Source organism: Homo sapiens, chromosome 8 (assembly GCF_000001405.40).
Source record: "Homo sapiens chromosome 8, GRCh38.p14 Primary Assembly".
Taxonomy (NCBI): domain Eukaryota; kingdom Metazoa; phylum Chordata; class Mammalia; order Primates; family Hominidae; genus Homo; species Homo sapiens.
In genome coordinates this window covers 50,379,061-50,401,456 of record NC_000008.11, presented here as the reverse complement: position 1 = coordinate 50,401,456, position 22,396 = coordinate 50,379,061, and the positions used below count along the sequence as shown (strand labels likewise).

The following is a 22,396-nucleotide window of genomic DNA, read 5'->3' as shown; positions in this document are numbered from 1 at the left end:
CTTTGGGTAATTGTGAAAACAGACTGTAAAGATTTCTGAACTTGTGCTATTATCTTAGTAATCACCAAAGAAGTCCATGAGTCTTGTCATTTATCCAGAATACATATATTAACCTGGATTAATATAAATATTCTCCCTAGAAAGTGCACTTAACATTCCCACTTGTCACAGACACAAAAGGTAATTCCTTTGAGATAGAATATAATCTTTAGCTCTTATTCGGCACCAAAAAGTCCATAGGAATAATGACCACTTTGGAAATGACATTTTCTTGTAATAATTATTGAGTCATTCTTAAGATAGTGGAATATATATATGGGGATATACATTTATCCTCAGAGTTAATTAATTAATTAATTTCAAATTAAAAATTTAGCACATAGTAAGTATTCATGGCAAACAATGTGAGGTTTTGATGTATGTATATATTGTGTAATTATCAAATCATGATAATTAGCATATACATCACTTTAAACACTAATAATATATGTGTTGTGAGAACATTCAAAACCCTCTCTTCCAGCTATTTGTGACATATAATGCATTACTGTTAGCTGTGATCATCCTAGCGTGCACTAGAGTAACAGAGCTTATTCCTCCCATCTGACTGTAACATTGTACCTGTTCTCCAACATCTCCCGATTCTGACCCTTCCATGCACCCCAGTGTGTGGTAACCACTATTCTACTCTCAACTCCAACATCACTTACTATAAGGAAAATGCAATTCAAAACCACAATGTAATACCACCTCACCCAAGTTAGAATGGTGACTAACAAAAAGACAAAAAATAACAAATGCTGGTGAAGATGTGGAGAAAAGTGAACCCTTACACACTGTTAGTGGAAATGTAAATTAGTATATCCCTTAAAGAAAACAGTATGAAGATTCCTTAAAAAATTAAAAACTGATCCAGCAATTCCATTACTAGGTATATATCCAAAGGAAATGAAATGAGTATGTCAAAGGGACATCTGCACTCCCATGTTTATTGTAGCACTATTCACAACAGCCAAGATATGAAATCAACCTAAATGCCCATCAACACATGAATGGATAAGGAAAATATGGTACTTATACACAGTGGAACACTATTCAGCCATAAAAAAGGAATAAAATTATTTAACTTGCAACAACATAGATAAGGATGGAGGATACTTTGCAAAGTAAAAATTGCCAGGCATAGAAAGACAAATATCATATTATATCACTTACATGTGAAATCTATCCTTAGATTTAAGGAGCATGCTATCCCAGGCAAATAATACCAGACTTTCTCTTGGAATATACATTTCCATGGCTATTGCTGGGAGTCTGCTACTTTAAAAGAATCCGCTGTAATATTGATGGGAATATATTTATATACTGCAGCCTCCAAAGATAACTCTTTCTCTAAACTGCTTTTGTTCTCGTGTGCTGATGCACACTCTTTTGCCCTCTATCATATACACTCTTATATTATTCTAGAATTATTTTGTAAAAGGTATGATGTCTTTTTTAGGAAAAACAGAAGCTTTTTCATGAGGAAGGAAAGCAAGTTTTCTTCATCCATGGCATTAGCACACAAGTGCTCATGAAACCAGGCTGACTAATCTAGAGAATACTTTAAGTGAATATATCTAGAGGACAAAAATCTTTCAGCACAAGCAGATTGTACTTTCCCTAATATAGAACATATTTTTTCTATGTTTTTACACAAAGTCACTCATGCTTACAATAGGATATTGGAGAGGGGCCGACATGCATCCTTTTTGAGGGGGGAAGCCACTCTGAGGAGTGGAAATATGAAATGATACATCAAAGCCAAGTGATCATAAATGAGCACATTTCCTGATTTTTCAGTACAGTATATTCCAGGACATTTTTTCACCCAGAAGTGTAATGGAATAGCTGATAATCACAAATAATGCTCTGTTTGAACTTCAGGATGTTAGAAGGGTTTTCCCTGAAAGCCCAGAGATATACTTTTGGTGCACATCAAAGAGATACTAAAGATCATCCAGGGAAAGTTTGAGGAGCTAAAACAAAGCTATCAGGGTGTTCTCATTTAATTTCTATATGGCCAAAGCTATCATTCACTTAAATACTATGTAAAATGTTCACAAATTATTAGATAGTTGTCTGGAAAACAGAATACAGTCTTTGAGCTCGCTTTTGGGTTCTGAAAGGACAAGAGTTGCAGAAAATAAAGAATGAGAAGGATTTTTTTTAGAATAAATCACAGAAGCACACACACACACACACACTCACAAACACACATTCCAATAAATAGCTGCTGGAGAAAACAGTACACGAAGTGCTAAAACAGATCAGTTAAAATACATTTCCAGAGGTTACAGATATTACACATGTTCTACCATGAAAATTCAGCTGGTGCACATGGAAATACATTTAAAATCCCACACATTTATTAATTTTGCAAATACTGTGCAGCATTAACAGAGAATCAGACATTAATTAGATAACATTCCCTGGCCTCATAGTATTCGTAACTATTTTACCTTATGTTATTTTATTTTTTTCTTGAGACAGAGTTTCGCTCTTGTTGCCCCAGGCTGGAGTGCAGTGGAGCGATCTTGGCTCACTACAATCTCTGCCTCCTGGGTTCGAGCGATTCTCCTGCCTCACCTCCCAAGTAGCTGGGATTACAGGTGCCTGCCATGACACCCAGCTAATTTTTTGTATTTTTAGTAGAGACGGGGTTTCACCACCATGGTGGCCAGGCTGGTCTCGAACGCCTGACCTCAGGTGATCCACCCGCCTCGGCCTCCCAAAGTGCTGGGATTACAGGCGTGAGCCACCGCGCTCGGCCTCGTATTTACTTCGAAAGTACATATGTAATAAAACACAATATGACATCTGATATGGGAGCAACATGGGGAAGGGAATTTAATATTCATGAGGGAAGGGAGTTTATGGAGGATAGGAAATATGTGTGGTTTGTCTTGAAAAAAATTAATTGAGGAAACAATCATTAGAGGAACAAATGTCATTTTAATCAAGAGGGAACACATGAGTAAAGATATGGAAGTGTGAAAATGCATGCCACGTGATGATGCAAGAAAATGAAGGTGCGCTCGCCGCTGAGCCTGTGTGGTCCAGCAGGGGCCGCTGCAGGAGAGATGTCTGGAGAGGACCAGGCGTGCTAACGCCCTGTATGATGGGCAGATGGTGGACGGTAAGGGAGACGCCATACATAAATGTGAGCAAGGAGATAATATGTTCACTGTTATGTGTTCTAAATGTATTTCTTGTAGCAGAGTAGAAGATGGAGAATAAATGGGAAAGTTAAAATACACTTATTGTTGACAGAAACAGGCACTGAGCAGGGAAGTTGGGAACTAATAAACAGGTGCATTAGATTCAGAGCTCCTCTGAGAGATGCAAGAAGAAGGATAAACTCCATTTCAGGGCACTGTCTTGATTAGAATCAGCATTGCTGGACTGAGATCCTCACTCATGAAATGTGGTCATATATTTCATTTATTTGTTGTTTAATAATAATTATTTATATAGTGCTCACTGTGTGACAAGAAGTATTAATTTATTTTTCTCCCTTAACAAAAATTAACGCAACCATCTGCCTTTACAGATTAGACAAGTGCAGAGGGACCTAGAGGAAGAAAAGGCTAGAATTCAACACAGGCAGCTAGGCTCTTCACCACACACTCTGCTATCCCGCATACACAGATTATTTAAGAATGCCACCCCCAGTTGTCCTGTATACAATGACATGGCTATTGGCATCTTTCACTGGAGAGCATTATGGTTATCAATAATCTCCTAATGGGGTGTGGATAATTTTGAAAAGAACAACATAATCTTGAAGCAGCTATTCTTCTTGTATTGAAGCAATGACCACTAGAGAGAAAAAACGAGTAAGAGACTACTCTGGAACTTACAGGATGATCTTCCCCAAAGCCACGCTACTAGGAGACTGTCTGATAGAGGAAGAAGTTTGATCTCCACTCCTTCCTGAAGTGCTTTAAGAGCTAAAAATGAGAGACCGAATCATGGGAGCAGCTGCAGGTTGGTGCTGCAAACCTAAAACAGCCCCACCTGCAAAGTCTTTACAGATCTGTGGACCCAAATTGTTTAGATATCGAAAATCACCTACATAATTATTGGTCTCAAATTTTAATATAAACTAAAGACATGAATCTTCTTCTTTCTTTTTATTAATGTAACATCATTTGTCTCCAAACTTCGTTGACTTTGCATACCATTGCACATAAATAAAGGAATGCATGTGATATAGATACTGTATGAATGTATTTTGTACTTTATAAAATATACACCAAACATAATTTTAAAGGGATGATTCATTTAAAAATGATATAAGTAAAATATTCTTCTTCTCTGACTGATGGACGATTCTAGATGGAACTTTTTACAAAATCCACATTGGAGACTATTTGCTTAAAGGAATTATTGAAAAGCAATACTTCCTAATTGCCTAAAAGGCAACATATTTAAATTATTAATTAGCTATGCTTTCTGCAAATCAAGAAAATGTTTATGAATTTGCATGGGTTTACTCTTTAAACAAATCTCACATTTAACTTCTCTCACATTTAAACTTATTAAGAATTTGTAGTTTCTTAAACATAGGACCTAGGTTGGATCTTTATAAAAGTAGAATATCATCCATTTTCTACTTAAAAGTTAAGGCCTTTTTAATTTATATTCTAGTCTTTCAAAATGTACAAAATGTATTTTCATGAAACTTTAAAATTTAAGGTCTATTAATTTTGAAATATACTCACAATATCAGATATAAGAAATGACAAACTACAAAAAGTAGGCAGAGATAATAAAATGGACTGCAAATTTTCTTGCAAGTATCCACAGTATTTCCATGTTTCAAGTGCCAAATACGATTTAATTTGTTTTGTCTTATACTGTACTGCATTGTAGCAGTAGTGTACTAAATGTTCTTTTATGCAAAGTGCTTCAAACTGCATCTTATCATTTACGTTCCCATTCCTGGATTACTTTTGATCATGGCCTTTTCCTTAACTAAATTCTAGCCATTATTCGAGTCCTGGCACCAGACTCCCTTCTCTTTGAAGCCTTCTGAAATCATTCTATTCAAAGATGAGTCCTCACTTTCCTGAACACTTGGATTCCATTAAGTAAATATTTACCCCAAAATTGATCACTATTGTCTTTTGGCATCACATATAGTGACTTCAGCAATATTTAGCTATATCTCACATGAGTGATTTAATTTCCTCTTCTATATTGTTATCTCAGTAACAGGTTGTCACTCTTTTCAGTACTAAGGATTACTAATTTACAAGAGCTAGTATGGTAATAACAGTATTACCAATTAAATAAATCTTCTGTATCTTAATAGAATTTGAGAAATATCCCAAATTAGTACATCAAAACAATTTTGTTTACAAAAAGCTCTTGTAAATCTTTCCAGCCTCTGAAATCCAAAATAAACCATTTGTTAAATAGTATTTGACCACTGTCCAATCTGTACCATATGAATGTCATGTGTCCCATAAGTATCTCATTCACACAAATATCCACTGGGTTTCAATGAATGCCTTACTACTCAAGACATAAGGTTGCACATTAATGGAAATAGAAGACTTGCTACTTTTAAAATTAAGTATGCAATTAAAACCAGAAATGGGCCGGGCACAGTGGCTCACGCCTGTAATCCCAGCACTTTGGGAGGCCGAGTCGGGTGGATCACGAGGTCAGGAGATCGAGATCTTCCTGGCTAACACGGTGAAACCTCGTCTCTAATACAAAAATACAAAATAAAAAAATTAGCCTGGCGTGGTGGCAGGCACCTGTAGTCCCAGCTACTTCGGAGGCTGAGGCTGGAGAATGGCATGAACCCAGGAGGCAGAGCTTGCAGTGAGCCGAGATCGCGCCACTGCACTCCAGCCTGGGCGACAGAGTGAGACTCCATTAAAAAAAAAAAAAAAAACAGAAATTAGACAATTAAAATTTAAAATACAAAGCTTCTAGAACATTAATTCAGTTTTTAAAAATATATGAACCAATAAGTGCTAAGTTAAAAAGATGAATAATGTACACACTCTGACCTTATAGTATTCAGTGTAGCACATGAGAAAGGTTTGTAAACAAAAAAACTGCCTTGTAATTTGATGAGTATTAGCATAGAGATATGTTTAAAATGTTATGCTTAAAGCATTAAAAGTAGAAACATAAGAATAGAAATATAAAAGCAATTTATTAGTTTTCTGAAAAACCTTATATTTATATTCTGAACTTCTTACCAACAGTGACAAGTATTTTTAAATATATATTTTTTCAATTGCTTTAGAAGAAAATAAGGAGTTACTTTCCACAAATTCATGCAAGAACTGTAAACACATGACATTTCACTAAAGTAACAGTCTTCACAAGGTTAAGAACTGAAGTCTTTCCCTAGTTTGATTTTAACACTACCAGAGGTAAGCAGTTATGGTTGGTTTTTGTTGAGTTGTTTATATACAATAAAAAAATGCTTTAAACCTTTTAAACAAATATAAAACATTTTTAAGCTGCAAGTATTTGTATTTTGCCTGAAGAATGAAAACACAATACTTTGAATGTTACATATTTAGTAAAAAAAAAAAAAAAAGTTAGTTTTTCTTCCTAAGATGGAATGGTTGTATTCCCTGGGGGCCCACATCCATGCACTATTGAACTGTAAACTTGAACACTGTTTATCATCCTTGAAATACTAATGTGCCACTTTAACTCGTGCTGAAATGTGATGACAGCTCTACAGAGAATCTAAATTCTTGTGTATTAATACTTAAATAATATTGAATTACTTAAATACTATCAGAATCATAAAATCATAGAATTTTAGGGCTGAAAGGAACCTTAGATGTCTTCTAATTTATTACCATTTATGTGAAAAGAATTCTTTCCAACACTTCCACTACCTGAAATGTGCAGAGTTGGTGAAGAGGAGCAACTCAATTATATTCAATATGCTCCAGTCTTCCTAAAGAAAGAGTTAAAGTCCAAGGCTTTCCATGCACAGTTAGGTTTTCTATCTTTGCAGAAGGAGAACGTAATCTGGAAGGAAAAAGAGCCCATCCTCCTCTCTCCATTTTCTGCCAAAAGCAGAATTTCCCTATATAAATTGGAGCCAAGTGTTTCCCGCTTATATTCTGTTTTCCCTGTTTGAAAAGCAGAAAGCTCTGTACTCACCTCCTCACAGGCGGTTCTGAAATCCATGTGCTGTGGCACCACAAAGGATGTCGTCTGAAAAGACACAGAAATGGTAAGCCATTAGGCACAGCATGGCATGTAAGAGAGAACACTAATATAGTGGAGGAAATCGTGAAGCAGAACTTGTGGGAAAACTGTGTTTACAACCACTTGTAAGGAACAAGAGCTCCAGGGTATACTGAAGAGAGGAAAATGAACAGATGAAAAAAGTCTTAATCCCCAGCTTTTAGGAAGTATAAATATCCTGCCATCATTCAGTGTGATTGAGTGTGCATTTCCAGGCACCTTTCCACCCCGCCAGCAGGCATTCAGACTCCATGTATCATCAGATCAACCTCTTCTCGCTCATTCCCAACATGCATTGTGAAACCTGAGTTTGCAATTGAGAAAGAAACTTCAAAAAGAGCAATTAAAAGTTGCCTTTCATATGGTTACCTCATGAAAAAAGATTGACTAATCTCTCTCTTTTTAATTAAAAAGCTACATGCATGAATAATTCTCTCTGGAACTTAAAATTTTATTCACAATATGATGTAAGGAAGCAAGCTATTTGTCAGAGTGAATAATATTAAGAAAAATCAATGTATAAAATATCTAAAATAGATTCATCTATGGTCACTATAATACCTAAATGATGAATGTAGATTTAAATACATATAGATGTTTTTGTAAAATTATTCTGGAGTGTTTTGTTTTCATTACGTGATACACCTAACCAAACTAAGATATGTCACGGAAAGTTGACACCCAGACACTATAAAACAAAGCAATGCAGAGCCAAAATATAATGGATAAGTAAATGAGACGTCAAAGTAAGATGAATGATTAATTCCAAAATAGAAGACTTTGTACTCCTCAAAATTACTCATCTCAGCCTTTGGAAGAGTAAACTATTATATCTTTCTTTGGCATTTCTTTTTAATTATACAAGATTAATTAATGCTTTATCAGGTAAGTGTGGCAAAACAGAGTAGGAGGTATCACCATGCTGTCACTGAACTGATAGATTATTACTATTGACTTTGAAAGAAAGAGATTAGCCATCATCAGTAGTAACCAAATGCATCATATAATCTATTAAATATTTCCCCTAGATAAATCTTGTGGATTGTGAGCCTCATTAATATTAATGAAATTTTTATTACTAACTTAATTATTTTTCAAAATTGCTCTTAAACATTTTATTTGAAGAACCTGTAAATATCTTCTTGTCTCTAACTGTGATGTAAAGTTATTCTTTTACTACAAAAGAAGGAAAATTTTGATATGTATTGATTATATAAAAACAAGAGATGTCTGGAATCAATTTCTTGCTACTAAAAAGCAACCAGAGAAATAGACATGAGGATACTGAACCATCTAAATATAACCTCATATTTGTTTCATATGCTGTATTTAATTTTAATGCATACATCTTAAAATTTTAATTATTTCATAACATGGCACATTTGAGCAGGTGCTATATCTATACTTTCTACCATTTTTAGCACATCTTCCTTTTTTCAATTCTAATCTTCTATTCTTTTTCATCAAAACATTAGGTGATAATATCAGTTGTTTGTTCAGAAAAGTAATTCATATATAAGCACAAAGAATTTCTACATACAGTTAGATAAAATATATAGGAGATAACTTATTTGGATTGAGTTCCTCAGGTTCTACTAGACCATATCAAAATGAAGTTACTCTTGCTAAAGCTTCACATCACCAAACTGAAAGCAAGATGATTATTTGACTTTTCTAAAACATTGGGAGAGGGAATAATAGCCAAAGAGCCAAAGAGGCCAATTTTAGCTGGCATTAAATAAGTCCCCTCTGCTTTAACCCTAAAAGGAAAGTAACTTTGTAATGAATAATCGATGTTTTGGCTTTTATTCTTTCTTCAGTCCTTTCTGCATATAAATCCCACCTCCAGGGCTCAGCTCATCAGAACACCTTGTCTAAATGTTTAAAGGAGATGCTGCCATGATTCATAAATCACAATCAAAGCCAATCCAATCATTTTGCTACAATTGTTGTAATTTTTTCTTCTGACAGTTCTCCACTTCCATTATTCTCTACTGTTAGCATCTTATATGATTATGTCACATTGATTACAGTTAATGAACCATTGCTGATACATTAGTACTATCTAAAGTTTAAACTTCATCTGTGTTTTCCTAGTTTTCCTTACTGTCTGTTTTCAGTTCTAGGATTGCTTCCAAGGCACGTCATTACATGTAGTCCCCTTTTTCCCTTGGGCTTCTTTTGGCTGTGACTGTTTCTCAGACTTTGCTTATTTTTAAAGACCTTAGCAGTGTTGAAGCATGCTGGTAAGGAATTTGTAAGATATTCTTCCATTGGGATTATTCTGATGTTCTTTTTAACTATTATAGTGTGGTTATGGGGTTTTGGAGGGGGACGATCTCAGAAGTAAAATGCCATTTTACTCAACACATACACACTCCCAAGACTAAACCAGAAAGAAGTTGAGTCTCTGAATAGACCAATAACAGGCTCTGAAATTGAGGCAATAATTAATAGTCTACCAACCAAAAAAATCCAGGAGCAGATGGATTCACAGCCGAATTCTACCAGAGGTACAAAGAGGAGCTGGTACCATTCCTTCTGAAACTATTCCAATCAATAGAAAAAGAGGGAATCCTCCCTAACTCATTTTATGAGGCCAGCATCATCCTGATAACAAAGTCTGGCAGAGACACAACAAAAAAAGAGAATTTTAGACCAATACTCCTGATGAACATTGATGCAAAAATCCTCAATAAAATGCTGGCAAATTGAATCCAGCAGCACATCGAAAAGCTTATCCACCATGATCAAGTGGGCTTCATCCCTGGTAGGCAAGGCTGGTTCAACATACACAAATCAATAAACGTAATCCAGCATATAAACAGAACCAAAGACAAAAGCCACGTGATTATCTCAATAAATGCAGCAAAGACCTTCGACAAAATTCAACAGTCCTTCACGCTAAAGACTCTCAATACATTAGGTATCGATGGGACATATCTCAAAATAATAAGAGTTATGTATGACAAAACCACAGCCAATATCATACTGAATGGGCAAAAACTGGAAGCATTCCCTTTGAAAACTGGCACAAGACAGGGATGTCCTCTCTCACCACTCCTATTCAACACAGTGTTGGAAGTTCTGGCCAGGGCAATCAGACAGAAGAAAGAAATAAAGGGTACTCAATTTGGAAAAGAGGAAGTCAAATTGTCCCTGTTTGCAGATGACATGATTGTATATTTAGAAAACCCCATCATCTTGGCCCAAAATCTCCTGAAGCTGATAAGCAACTTTAGCAAAGTTTCAGGATACAAAATCAATGTGCAAAAATCACAAGCATTCTTATACACCAATAACAGACAAACAGAGAGCCAAATAAAGAGTGAATTCCCATTCACAATTGCTTCAAAGAGAATAAAATACCTAGGAATCCAACTTACAAGGGATGTGGAGGACCTTTTCAAGGAGAACTACAAACCACTGCTCAATGAAATAAAAGAGGACACAAACAAATGGAAAAACATTCCATGTTCATGGGTAGGAAGAATCAATATCATGAAAATGGCCATTCTGCCCAAGGTAATTTATAGATTCAATGCCATCCCTATCAAGCTACCAATGAATTTCTTCACAGAATTTGGGAAAAACTACTTTGAAGTTCATATGGAAGCAAACAAGAGCCAGCATTGCCAAGTCAATCCTAAGCCAAAAGAACAAAGCTGGAGGCATCAAGCTACCTGACTTCAAACTATACTACAAAGTTACAGTAACTAAAACAGCATGGTACTGGTACCAAAACAGAGATATAGACCAATGGATCAGAACAGAGCCCTCAGAAATAATACCACACATCTACAACTATCTGATCTTTGACAAAAAATGGGGAAACGATTCCCTATTTAATAAATGGTGTTGGGAAAACTGGCTAGCTATATGTAGAAAGCTGAAAATGGATCCCTTCCTTATACCTTATACAAAAATTAATTCAAGATGGATTAAAGACTTAAATGTTAGACCTAAAACTATAAAAACCCTAGAAGAAAACCTAGGCAATACCATTCAGGACATAGGCATGGACAAGGACTTCATATCTAAAACACCAAAAGCAATGGCAACAAAAGCCAAAATTGACAAATGGGATCTAATTAAAGTAAAGAGCTTCTGCACAGCAAAAGAAACTACCATCAGAGTGAACAGACAACCTAGAGAATGGGAGAAAATTTTTGCAATCTACTCATCTGACAAAGGGCTAATATCCAGAACCTACAAAGAACTCAAACAAATTTACAAGAAAATACAAACAACCCCATCAACAAGTGGGCGAAGGATATGAACAGATGCTTCTCAAAAGAAGACATTTATGCAGCCAAAAGGCACATGAAAAAATGCTCATCATCACTGGCCATCAGAGAAATGAAAATCAAAACCACAATGAGATATCATCTTGAACCAGTTAGAATGGCGATCATTAAAAAGTCAGGAAACAACAGGTGCTGGAGAGGATGTGGAGAAATAGGAACACTTTTACAGTGTTGGTGGGACTGTAAACTAGTTCAACCATTGTGGAAGACAGTGTGTCAATTCCTCAGGGATCTAGAACTAGAAATACCATTTGACCCAGCCATCCCATTACTGGGTATATACCCAAAGGATTATAAATCATGCTGCTATAAAGACACATGCACACGTATGTTTATTGTGGCATTATTTACAATAGCAAAGACTTCGAACCAAGCCAACAATGAGAACACTTGGACACAGGAAGGGGAACGTCACACACCAGGGCCTGTTGGCTGTGAAAGGAAATAGATTGTTCATTTTTAGTAGAAACTGAACATGTCATACAATCGATTAAGTATTTCCACTGGATAAGTCTCTGACAGTGAGAAACATAGTTTCCAATAACCAATCATTCATGTGCTCAGTTGTGCAATCCCAGTATACATGTATAGCCATAAGAAATGCTAACCCACAGGCCTGTGGGAAACAACTGTATCCACTACAGCATAGTTTATTTTACGTTCATTCATATAGACTGCACTTATTATCAAAATTACTTATGTCTACTCCAGCTATGGGTGGGGAGAAATGACCATATGCTAGTTTCTCTACAGGCCTCACATGCTTCCCGTGCCCTCTAGCACTTCTGCAATTGCACGAGAACAGTTTCCCCAAGAAGCTGCTGCCCTGTTGGCCTGGCCTTAAAGTGACACACACAGAGCCAAACTTCTTATATGACCCACAGAATGCAAGATTCATCCCAACCACCCTTACATCCCTGCCCAGGACAGAGCTGCCACAATCACATTGAAGACTCCTGCGTCAAATAAGTGCTTGATATTTGTGGTGGTGAGCTTTAGCTGCTACAGAGCCCAGCCATTTAATCAAACACTAATCTAGGTGGTGCTGTGAAGTTTCTTTGCAGATGATATATATAATCAACTCACTTTAAATAATGGAGACTATTTTCAATAATGTGGGTGGGTCTCATCAAATAAGTTGAACAGCCTCAGAAGCAAGCATGAGTTTCCTCTGTAGAAGAAATTCTGCCTCCAGACTGCATCATCAGCTTCTGCATGAGAGTTTCCAGCCTGCTGGGCTGATGTAGATTTTAGACTTGCTGAATCCCATTCATGTTAGTCATATACACAGTGATTCCATTCCTCTGTAGAACCATGACTGATATAGATTTGGGTACCAACAGTGGTTTTAAAGGCACAGAATTCTAAGAATGAGTTTTTTGACTTGGTTTTGGGGTTTCAGGAATTGATTCTGTAATCTAATTAGATTTAAAGGCAGTAAAGACTCTATTTCCAGTATTAACAAGAACACTGGTAGTCCATGGCACAAAGAGGCAATAGAGATACACACAATATCACCACTGAATACTACTACTCAAGTATTGATAAGGCAAGGTTCTCAGTGACCAAGTATTTGATAACTTAGAACAGTTCTGTCAAATAATGAGTGCAATAAGATTGGTTGTTTGCTCTTAACCATGGTATAGAAAGTAGAGAGAAAAAGGGTGAGCCTAGGATTTCAAATTACTAGCCTATGCCCTGCATATATGACCTGAAAATGCATATGCCTGTCTTAGATTATACCCTTATCTCCTATAGCCATGAGCCTGAGATTTCTGAACACTAAACCCAGAGTCTCATCCTGCTAGTCACTGAATTACATTACAAATTAAACCCCAGCTTAGCAAAGTTTCTTCTGTTAAACACAGACGTTGATTGGGAAAAACAGGACCCTGAATATTGGAAGGAAGACATATATGAAGTCTGTGATGAAGCTGAGCTCAGTGAACCCCTAAGTTCTGCTGAGTCTTCTTTGGTGGTAGAGTGATAGCCTTCACTGAGGTGGTTGTCCTAAAAACAATGCTGATTCTCCTGAGGATCCAACCCCACCAACCCTCTTTTCTTTTATAGGTATAAGTACACTCAAGTGGCAACAGGTGAAAAAAGGTGAGATACAAAGTTTAACCCATTAAACGTGTGTTCCACTTCAAAATCATTGCATATTTTTTCAATTTATACAGACAGACTTCTGGGAAATACGTGTGGAATGGATACTCATGATTTTGGATAATGTTGGAAGGCACATAAATTTGGACTAGGTCAAATTGATTGATATTGCCCCACTAAGCATAAATTCTGGATGTAAATTTGGGGTGTTAGAAAGGATTCTGACAGTTTGTTTAGTTGACTTGGGTTTAAACATGGACCAAAAAAAAATGACTTATAATAAATTACATTAAAATGCCAGGATCGCCTTGGTACACTGCAGAGGAAGTTAACAGATGACTTAAGAGTACTGGAATGTTAGAGTGGATTTATCATACAAGAGCCCCTCACTGACCCTGGGAGGGCCCAGAGAATGCACCTTTCGACTTGACTCTGAGGAAGAAATTTGTGTGGTGGCTCTGTTAAAGAGCTCTTCGGGCACTCTTCTCTGTAGGGCAGAAATTACCATAGGAACTATTGCCACTGAACTGGAATCCTTACATGCAATGGCAGTAATTGGATCCTGGGATGACAGGGCCCAAGTGGCAAAGACAAAGAGGCCATGGTTATGAGAATGGAAATCAGGGCCAAGGCAGTAATCAGAGTAGCTTAACTCGGAGAGGCCTATGGTGTTGGCAAGTTGATCATGTGTCCCTAGAAGCAAAATAGACAGGAAGCCTACTAAATTTTTATTTGATCAGTACAAGCAAATGAATTCTAGGTTGAGTGAAAATTCTAGTATGAATCACCAGAATAGAGTCATAGACTCTCACTCAGTTCCCAGAATTGAAATGGTTTGTAGAACCAGAGCCCCTTGCATGAAGGTTTGAATGTTCGTCCACTCCAAATCTCATGTTGAAATGGGATCCCTAGTGTGGAAGGTGGGCCCGGTGGAGAGTGTTTGTGTTATGGAGGCAGATCACTCATGAATGCCTTGGTGTCCTCCCTGTAGTAATAAGTTCATGCCAGACCTGGCTGTTTAAAAGAGTCTGGAACCTCCCTTCTTTCTCTCTTGCTTCCTCTCTTACCACATGACATGCTGGCTCCCCTTCCATCTGCTGTGACTAAAAGCTTCCTGGGACCTCAGCATATGTAGACTCTGGTGTCATGCTTCTTGCACAGCCTGCAGAACCATGAGTCAAAGTAAGCCCCTTTTCTTTATAAATTAGCCTGCTTGAGGTATTCCTTTATAGCAATACAAATGAACTAATAAAGAAAGGAAGTCGGGCCACATAAAGAAGGACGCTGATACCCTACCACAGGTGTATGTTGTTAATCTTGCTCCCAGCCTCCCCCAAAGAATTGCAGAATCTTTTACCAGGGCAAATAAATGTGAACTAAATATGAATTAAAGAAGGGAAAAAACCATATCTTTCAGCAACTACCAGACACTGGTTCTGAAATGACACTAATTCCTGGAGACACAAAACACCACTGTGGTCCACCAATCAGAAGAGGGGCTGTGGAAGTAACCAGCGGAGTTTTAGCTCAAGTCCATCTCAGGGTAAGGCCAAGGTAGTCTGTGAACACATTGTATGTTTTTCCCCTGGTTCTGAGTGTGTAATTAGAATTGACTTGCTCAGTAACTAGCAGAATCACCACATTGGTTTTCTGACATGTGGAGTGAGAGCTGTTGCTATGGGAAAGGCCAAATGGATGCCATTAGAACTACCTTTAACTTACCTTTGCAAGTAAAATAGCAAACCAAGAACAATACCACTTTCCTCGAGATATTGTAGACTTTATTACTATCATCGAGGACTCAAAAGTTTCAGGAGAAGTGATTCCCACTATATCCCAATTCAACTGACCTACTTGGCCTATGCAGAAGACAGATGGATTTTGGAGACTGACAATGGATTACCACAAGCTTAGCCAGGTGGTGACTCTAATTGAAGCTCTGTAGCAGATGTGGTTTTATTGCTTGAGCAAATGAACATATCCCTTGGTACCTGGCATGCAGCTATTGACCTGCCAAATCCCTTTTTCTCCATTCCTGTCCATAAGGCCCATCAGAAGCAGTTTGCTTTCAGCTGGCCAGGACAGCAATATACCCTCACTGTCCTACCTCAGAGATGTATCAATCTTCAGCCCTATGTCAATAGCTCACAAGGATTTTGAATCACTTCCCCTTTCCACAAGATTCCACAGTGGCTCATTACAGTGATGGCATTAAGTTAATTGGACCTAGTAAGTGAGAATTAGGAACTATTCTAGGCTTATTAACAAGACATTTGTGTGTCAGAAAGTGGGAAATAAATCTGACAAAAATTCAAGGACCTTCTACCTCAGCAAAGTTTCTGGGGGTCCAGTGGTGTGATGTCAGTTGAGATACCCTTCTAAGGTAAAGAATAGGTTGTTGCAGTTGGCCTTGCTTATGACCAGAAAAGAGGGACAATGCCTAGGAGGCCTATTTGAGTTTTGGAGGCAACATATTCCTCATTTGGGTGGACTACTATGGCCTCTTTAGAGAAGTGACTCAAAAAGCTGCTGATTTCAAGTGGGGTCCAGAACAGGAGAAGATTCTGCGTCAGGTCCAGGCTACTGTGCAAGCCGCTCTACCACTTGGAACATATGACGCAGAATATCTGTCATGTGAAGTGGCAGTGGCAGACAGGGATGCTGTTTAGAGCCTTTGGCATGTCCCTGTAGGTGAATCACAGGACAAGTCCTCAGAATTTGGGAGCTAATCCCTGCTTTCTTCTCTGGATAACAACTCCCTTTTAAGAGACAGCTCTTTTTCTGCTATTGGCTATTAGTAGATACAGAATGATTAACCATGGGACACCAAGTCACCTGAGATGTTCATCATGAACTGGGTATCATCCAATAGACCAAGCCATAAAATTAGGGGTACACATCATCAAATGGAAGTGATCGGGCTCAAGCAGACCCTAAGGCACAAATAGTTTACAAGAGAAAGAACTTCAATTATCTATGGTTTCCACTCTTGCTCCATTACCTTCTTTCTCTTAGCCCACACCTATGGTCTCATGGGGAGTTTCCTAACCACAATTCACTGGAGGAAGAGAAAAGTTGACTTGGGTTAGAGATGGTTCTGCACAATATGCAGGTGCAACATGGACTTCCACTCACCAAGGCCAACATGGTTACAGCCACTGCTGAGTGCCCAATTTGTCAGCAGCATAGACCAACACTGAGCCCAGTATGGCATAATTCCCCAGAGTGATAAGCCAGGTACCTGATGGCAGGTTTATTGTATTGGGCCACACTTACATCATGGAAAGGTCAGCATGTTGTGCTTATTGAAATAGACATTTATTTTGGATATGAATTTGCCTTTCCTATACACAGCGTTCTTGCTAAAATTGCCATTTGTGGATTTACAGAATGCCTTATTAACTGTCATCATATTCCATACACCATTTCTTCTGATCAAGGCACTCACCTCACAGAAAATGAAGTGAAGCAGTGAGTCCATGCTCATAAATTTCACTGGGCTGGTCTTACCATTTTCCCACCATCTTGAAGTTGGCTTGATAGAGCAGTGCAATGGCCTTTTGAAAACAGTTATGGCATCAGCCAGGTGGCATTTTCTTGCAGGGCTGAGTCAAAGTTCTCCAGGAAGCTGTATATGTTCAATATATGGTGCTGTCTCTCCCATTACCAGAATTCATGAGTTTAGGAAATGAGGGTAGTGCCTCTCAGTATTACTCTCTACTTACTAGCAAAACTTTTGTTTCCTGTACCTGCGACCTTATTCTCTTCTGGTTTAGAGGTCTTCATTCCACAGTGAAGAATGTTTCTATTAGGAGATCCAACAATGATTTCATTGAATTGGAAGTTGAGATACTCCCAGCCACTTTGGACTCCATTGCCTCTGAATCAACATGCAAAGAAATGAGTTACTCCTCTGACTGGGGTGATTGATACTGACTTCCAGAGGGAAATTGGGCTGCTCCAGCTTGGAGGTCAGGAAGAGTATGCACAGGAGGTTCCTTAGGTGTGTCTTACCATGCTTGTGATTCATGCCAATGGAAAACTGCAATAACCCCGTTCAGGCAGGGACTATTAATGGCCCAGACACTTCAGGAATGAAGATTTGGGTTACCTTACCAGGTGAAGAACTATGACCAGCTGAGGTGTTTGCTGAGGACACAAGGAATAAGGAATGGGTAGTGGAAAAAGGCGGTTATTACTACCAACTACCACCACATGATCAGCTGCAAAAATGAGGACTGTAATTGTTATTTCTTTCTCATTTTGTTATAAACTTGACTGTATGTGCATGTACACTTACAAACATATATATGTGTGTATACACATATGTATAATATATGTCAATTATCTTTGTTTTCTTCCCTTCTTTATTCCCTTATCATCTAACATAAGATTTATTAATAATAGTTAATTTTACATCACAGCATTTAAATTACAGCATATCAAGGAGATTACTCAAGGCCTTTGTATCCCCTTCTAGGGAAATAATTAGTGTGTTTTTGATTATACAAAGGACTGTTGTATCATATTCGTTAGAAGGATGACTTTGTGATGGTTTTTATTTGGAGCTAAAGTAGGTTTAAGGGGATATATATGAATGTTACGTTGACAAAGGGTGAGCTGTGATGGTTACTTTTATGTGTCAACTTGAATAGGTTATGGTGCCCAATTATTTAATTGCGCATTAATCTAAGTGTTGCTGTGGAGGTATTTTAATGTGGTTAACATCTGAAATCAGTTGGCTTTAAGTACAGGAGATTATTCCCAATAATGTGGGTGGTCCTCATGCAATCACTGAAAGGCCCTAAAAGCAAACATTGAGGTTTCTCTGATAAAGAAATTCTGTTTCGAGTAGGCAGCACCAACTCCTGCCCAAGAGTTTCCATTCTGCCAGCCTACCCTACAGAATTTGGACTTGCCAGCCCACACAATTGCATGAGCCAATTTCTTTAAATGGGTCTCTTAAAATATGTGTACACATACATAGATATTCTACTGCTTCAGCTGGTCCGGAGAATCCTGACTGATACAGTTGTGTATGCCACTGAGATTTTATTGTTTTATTGTGTAATATTTTGTGATAATAATTGACTAAAAGAGCATATTTCTTTTTTAAAAAAATTGAAATATTGAAAGTAGTTTATTTTGATGATATTATCTAGAAAAAAATACTGTCAATCAGTCCCATTATCTGGATTCCGTGAGCTACCCTACTTCCTGCTCTTTCCAAAGCCTAGTTGGTCAGTTGCTTCTTCACTTTGGTGAAACAGTCCATATTTTTCCAAAAAATTATTTTATAGTTTGAGCTAGTCATATTTGGATTTCGTCTCTTGTATCCAAATAACTCTAGTAGCGCATATTTCTAGATATTCCTGAAAATCCTTTAAACACAACTAACAAGTGCCAGCCATTTAATAACATGATAAGTTCCAGAATATAATATATACTAGATATTTCTATGTTATACTATAAAAACTATAAGGAAAACACTTCATTTGTAGCTGGTTTATTAGTAACATAGATATGATGGTTAATACTCAGTATCAACTTTATTGGATTGAGGGATACAAAGTATTGATCCTGGGTGCATCTGTGAGGATTTTGCCAAGATTAACATTTGAATCACTGGGCTGGGAAAGTCAGAACCACCCTTAATCTGGGTGGGCACCATCTGATCAGCTGCCAGCATGGCTAGAATATAAAAAGGAGGCAGAGAAATGTGAAAAGACGAGGCCGGCCTAGCCTCCCAGCTTACATCTTTCTCCTGTGCTGGATGCTTCCTGCCCTCAGACATCAGACTCCAGGTTCTTCAGTTTTTGGGACTCAGACTGGTTTCTTTAATCCTCAGTTTGCAGACAGCCTATTGTGGGACGTTATGATTGTGTGAGTTAATACTTAATAAACTCCCCTTCATATATATATATATATAATATATATATATGTTATATATATAGCTACAGAACTAATAGGATATATATATATATCCTATATATATAACTAATAGGATATATATATCCTATATATATATAACTAATAGGATATATATATCCTATATATATATATAACTAATAGGATATATATATCCTATATATATATAACTAATAGGATATATATATATATATATAACTAATAGGATATATATATATAACTAATAGGAGATATATATATATATACACACACACACACACACACACACACACACACACATATCCTATTAGTTCTGTCCCTCTAGAGAACCCTGACTAATACAATAGGTTAACTAATTCTGTTATTTAAAATGTAAACTTTAGATTTTTTTTCCAACAACAAAACTTATTTTTCTCTGGAGACACATTCATCTTCCCATATTACTTTTTTTCTTATTCAGATATGAAATTTTTAATGCTTTCTGTATATGATTTTTTAAAAGTAATTGATTTGTACTAAAATATGATGCAGGAACAATTACATAGTTTATAAATGTCTTCTTTTCTGTATCCATGGATAAAAGAAAAATAAGTTTATTGGTTAATCATTATCTAGCATAAGTTTTTCTAGGGGCAAAAAAAAAGCCCCTATGAAAATAATTTTTAAAATTTCATCAGTAAACTTTATTACCTAAAATATGGAGATGAGAACTGCAATGCATATAATGTGATGAAATCATCTTTAATGTTTAAAAAATGACAATATATGAATGTCCCCTACCTCATCTTTGATCCATGTAGAATCTCCATGGACAGCTCAGTGATAAGCCACAAAGCATGGAAAGCTCTAGCCTAAGGAAGCCTGTCTAGACTATTATTACGTCACTGACCTAACAAACAATGGTAACAGCCTGGTTCCTGACCAAGAAAAGTGAAAGTGAAGCTGAACATTTCCTGACTGTCACATCATCAGATGTGGCCTCTGTCTAGAGATCTTGCCTATTATGATTAAATCTAACACTCAGAAATTAAAAAGAATTATTATCATCAATTATGATAAGAACAGCAACAATAGCTGTTGATTAAACTTCATCTTTGCAACCAAAACCTGGAAAATAAAATGAGACAAACACAGCCAAATTTATGCATGCTGAATATAAAACATAAGACTGCTTCCCTTCAAATGCTCCATTGCCCAGGAGACTGATAAAGATATGCACCTCTCCAGCTGCACCCATGGAGAGCTAAGTAGTTATGTAAAACAGAATAGGAAGTATTGGTGCAAAAATATTTTGGATTTAAATGATTTTGATAATTTCCATAATGCTTTACTTGATGAGTGTTAAAAAGTCTCTATAATGTTCTGCTTACTCTGACAGTTCAGTTTACTGAAGAGAAAAATGTTATCTATTTATAGAGTTTGCTCTAGGCAAAATAATGAAATATGCAAAATTTATCTCCTATCTCTTTGTGTGTCCCAAACTGAAACCCAGTGTGTACCCTCTCCACACACATTCACATCTTCAGGTTATGCCTTGACTGTTGGAAAAATATTAATTGGTCCTCTCTCCAAACTCAGTTACAACAATAGGATTTAAAACAATGGTTACAGTCACTTGAGTTTCATTTTGTGTGAATTTTTTGTTCATTTAACAATATGTACCTTGGAGTCAACTATTTAAGCATCTTTAACCTTTTTATGTTAGTTAGGATACTGGTTTCTTTTAAAAAATCAATATAATAGTGGCATAACTCAGAGAGCAGTTTGCTTCTCTTGTAAGAGTCCAAACGTAAACGTCCCGAGGTGATTTCAAAATCTGTGGGACCCACTCTCCATCCCTCCAATTTCTCTGCCATCCTCAGCATGTGTGCTCTGACAAGAGTTCATTGCTGCCCTCATGTCCAAGCTCCTGCCAGGCAGAAAATGGGAGCTGGACACATCAAGCCCATTCACATTCCATTCTCTCATTACAAGATCACATCTAGCCATGCTGGGACTGGGAAATGTGGTGTTTAAGGGGGCAGCCCTGTGACCAGCTAACACATGCTGGAGAACAGGGATGGCCGCCAGGCATTTTCCGAAGTTGCTCTTGCACCTTGTAACTTTCACCTGTGTGAAAGAGTCCTTTTAAGAGAGTTTCTGTAGTCCTTGGGATTACTGAGATGTTTTATGCACTTTTAACATTTATTATTATTACTGTTGGCAGCAGCAGGCTGTCTGGAGCGGCAGTTGCCATCAGGTCAGCTGCAGAAGAGAGGTGCAGCCATGGCTGCATGCTCCATGGAGTGGTGGGAGCCAGGAAAAAGTGGGAGCTCTGCCCCTTCAAAGTTGGGGTGGGAGCTCCCCACATGCTGCTGCAGTCACCCAATGCATAGCTGTGGATCCAGACATCCCTGTGCTCCTGGGCCCTGGAGCAGGAGGGAGCCCTGCCCCTGACCCCCCATCGGCACAACTGCAGCTGCCCAACTGCAGCTGTGAAGCCATGGCTGTGGCTGTAAACCAAGGCATCTCTGGGGGCCCATGAAGGCCCCCCCTGCTTTCATAGGCTAGGAAGTGCCTACTCCTGCTGCCTGGCTACTCCCTGCTGTGAGCACTTACTCTGATCTCGGAGCAAAGTCGGGGCCAAGCCCAGATGCCGTCGAAGCCCACCCAGCTGTTCACATGCTCAAGGCAATGCTGCCACACCAGCCCTTTGCCACTTCAGCTGCCTCCAGACTTGGGGCACCAACTAGCACAGAAGGGAAGCTGAGGTGGGGTTGAGGGCAGTTCTTCACTAGCCTGCAGGTGCCCCTTGGTAC

The 22,396-nt window shown here is 37.8% G+C and overlaps 1 protein-coding gene across 21 annotated transcripts in view; it reads right to left on the bottom strand.

The window, feature by feature from the left end:
* Window positions 1–22,396, bottom strand: part of SNTG1 (syntrophin gamma 1) — an 886,897-nt gene that overhangs the window by 395,236 nt on the left and 469,265 nt on the right. For all 21 annotated transcript variants that reach the window (NR_135796.2, NR_135795.2, NR_135797.2 and 18 more), the window contains one exon: window positions 7,192–7,245. Coding sequence is in view for 16 of the 21 variants with exons in the window: in NM_001287813.3 (NP_001274742.1) it covers window positions 7,192–7,218 (27 nt within the window). In the remaining 5 variants the exon portion in view is untranslated. The remainder of the gene's footprint in view (window positions 1–7,191; window positions 7,246–22,396) is intronic.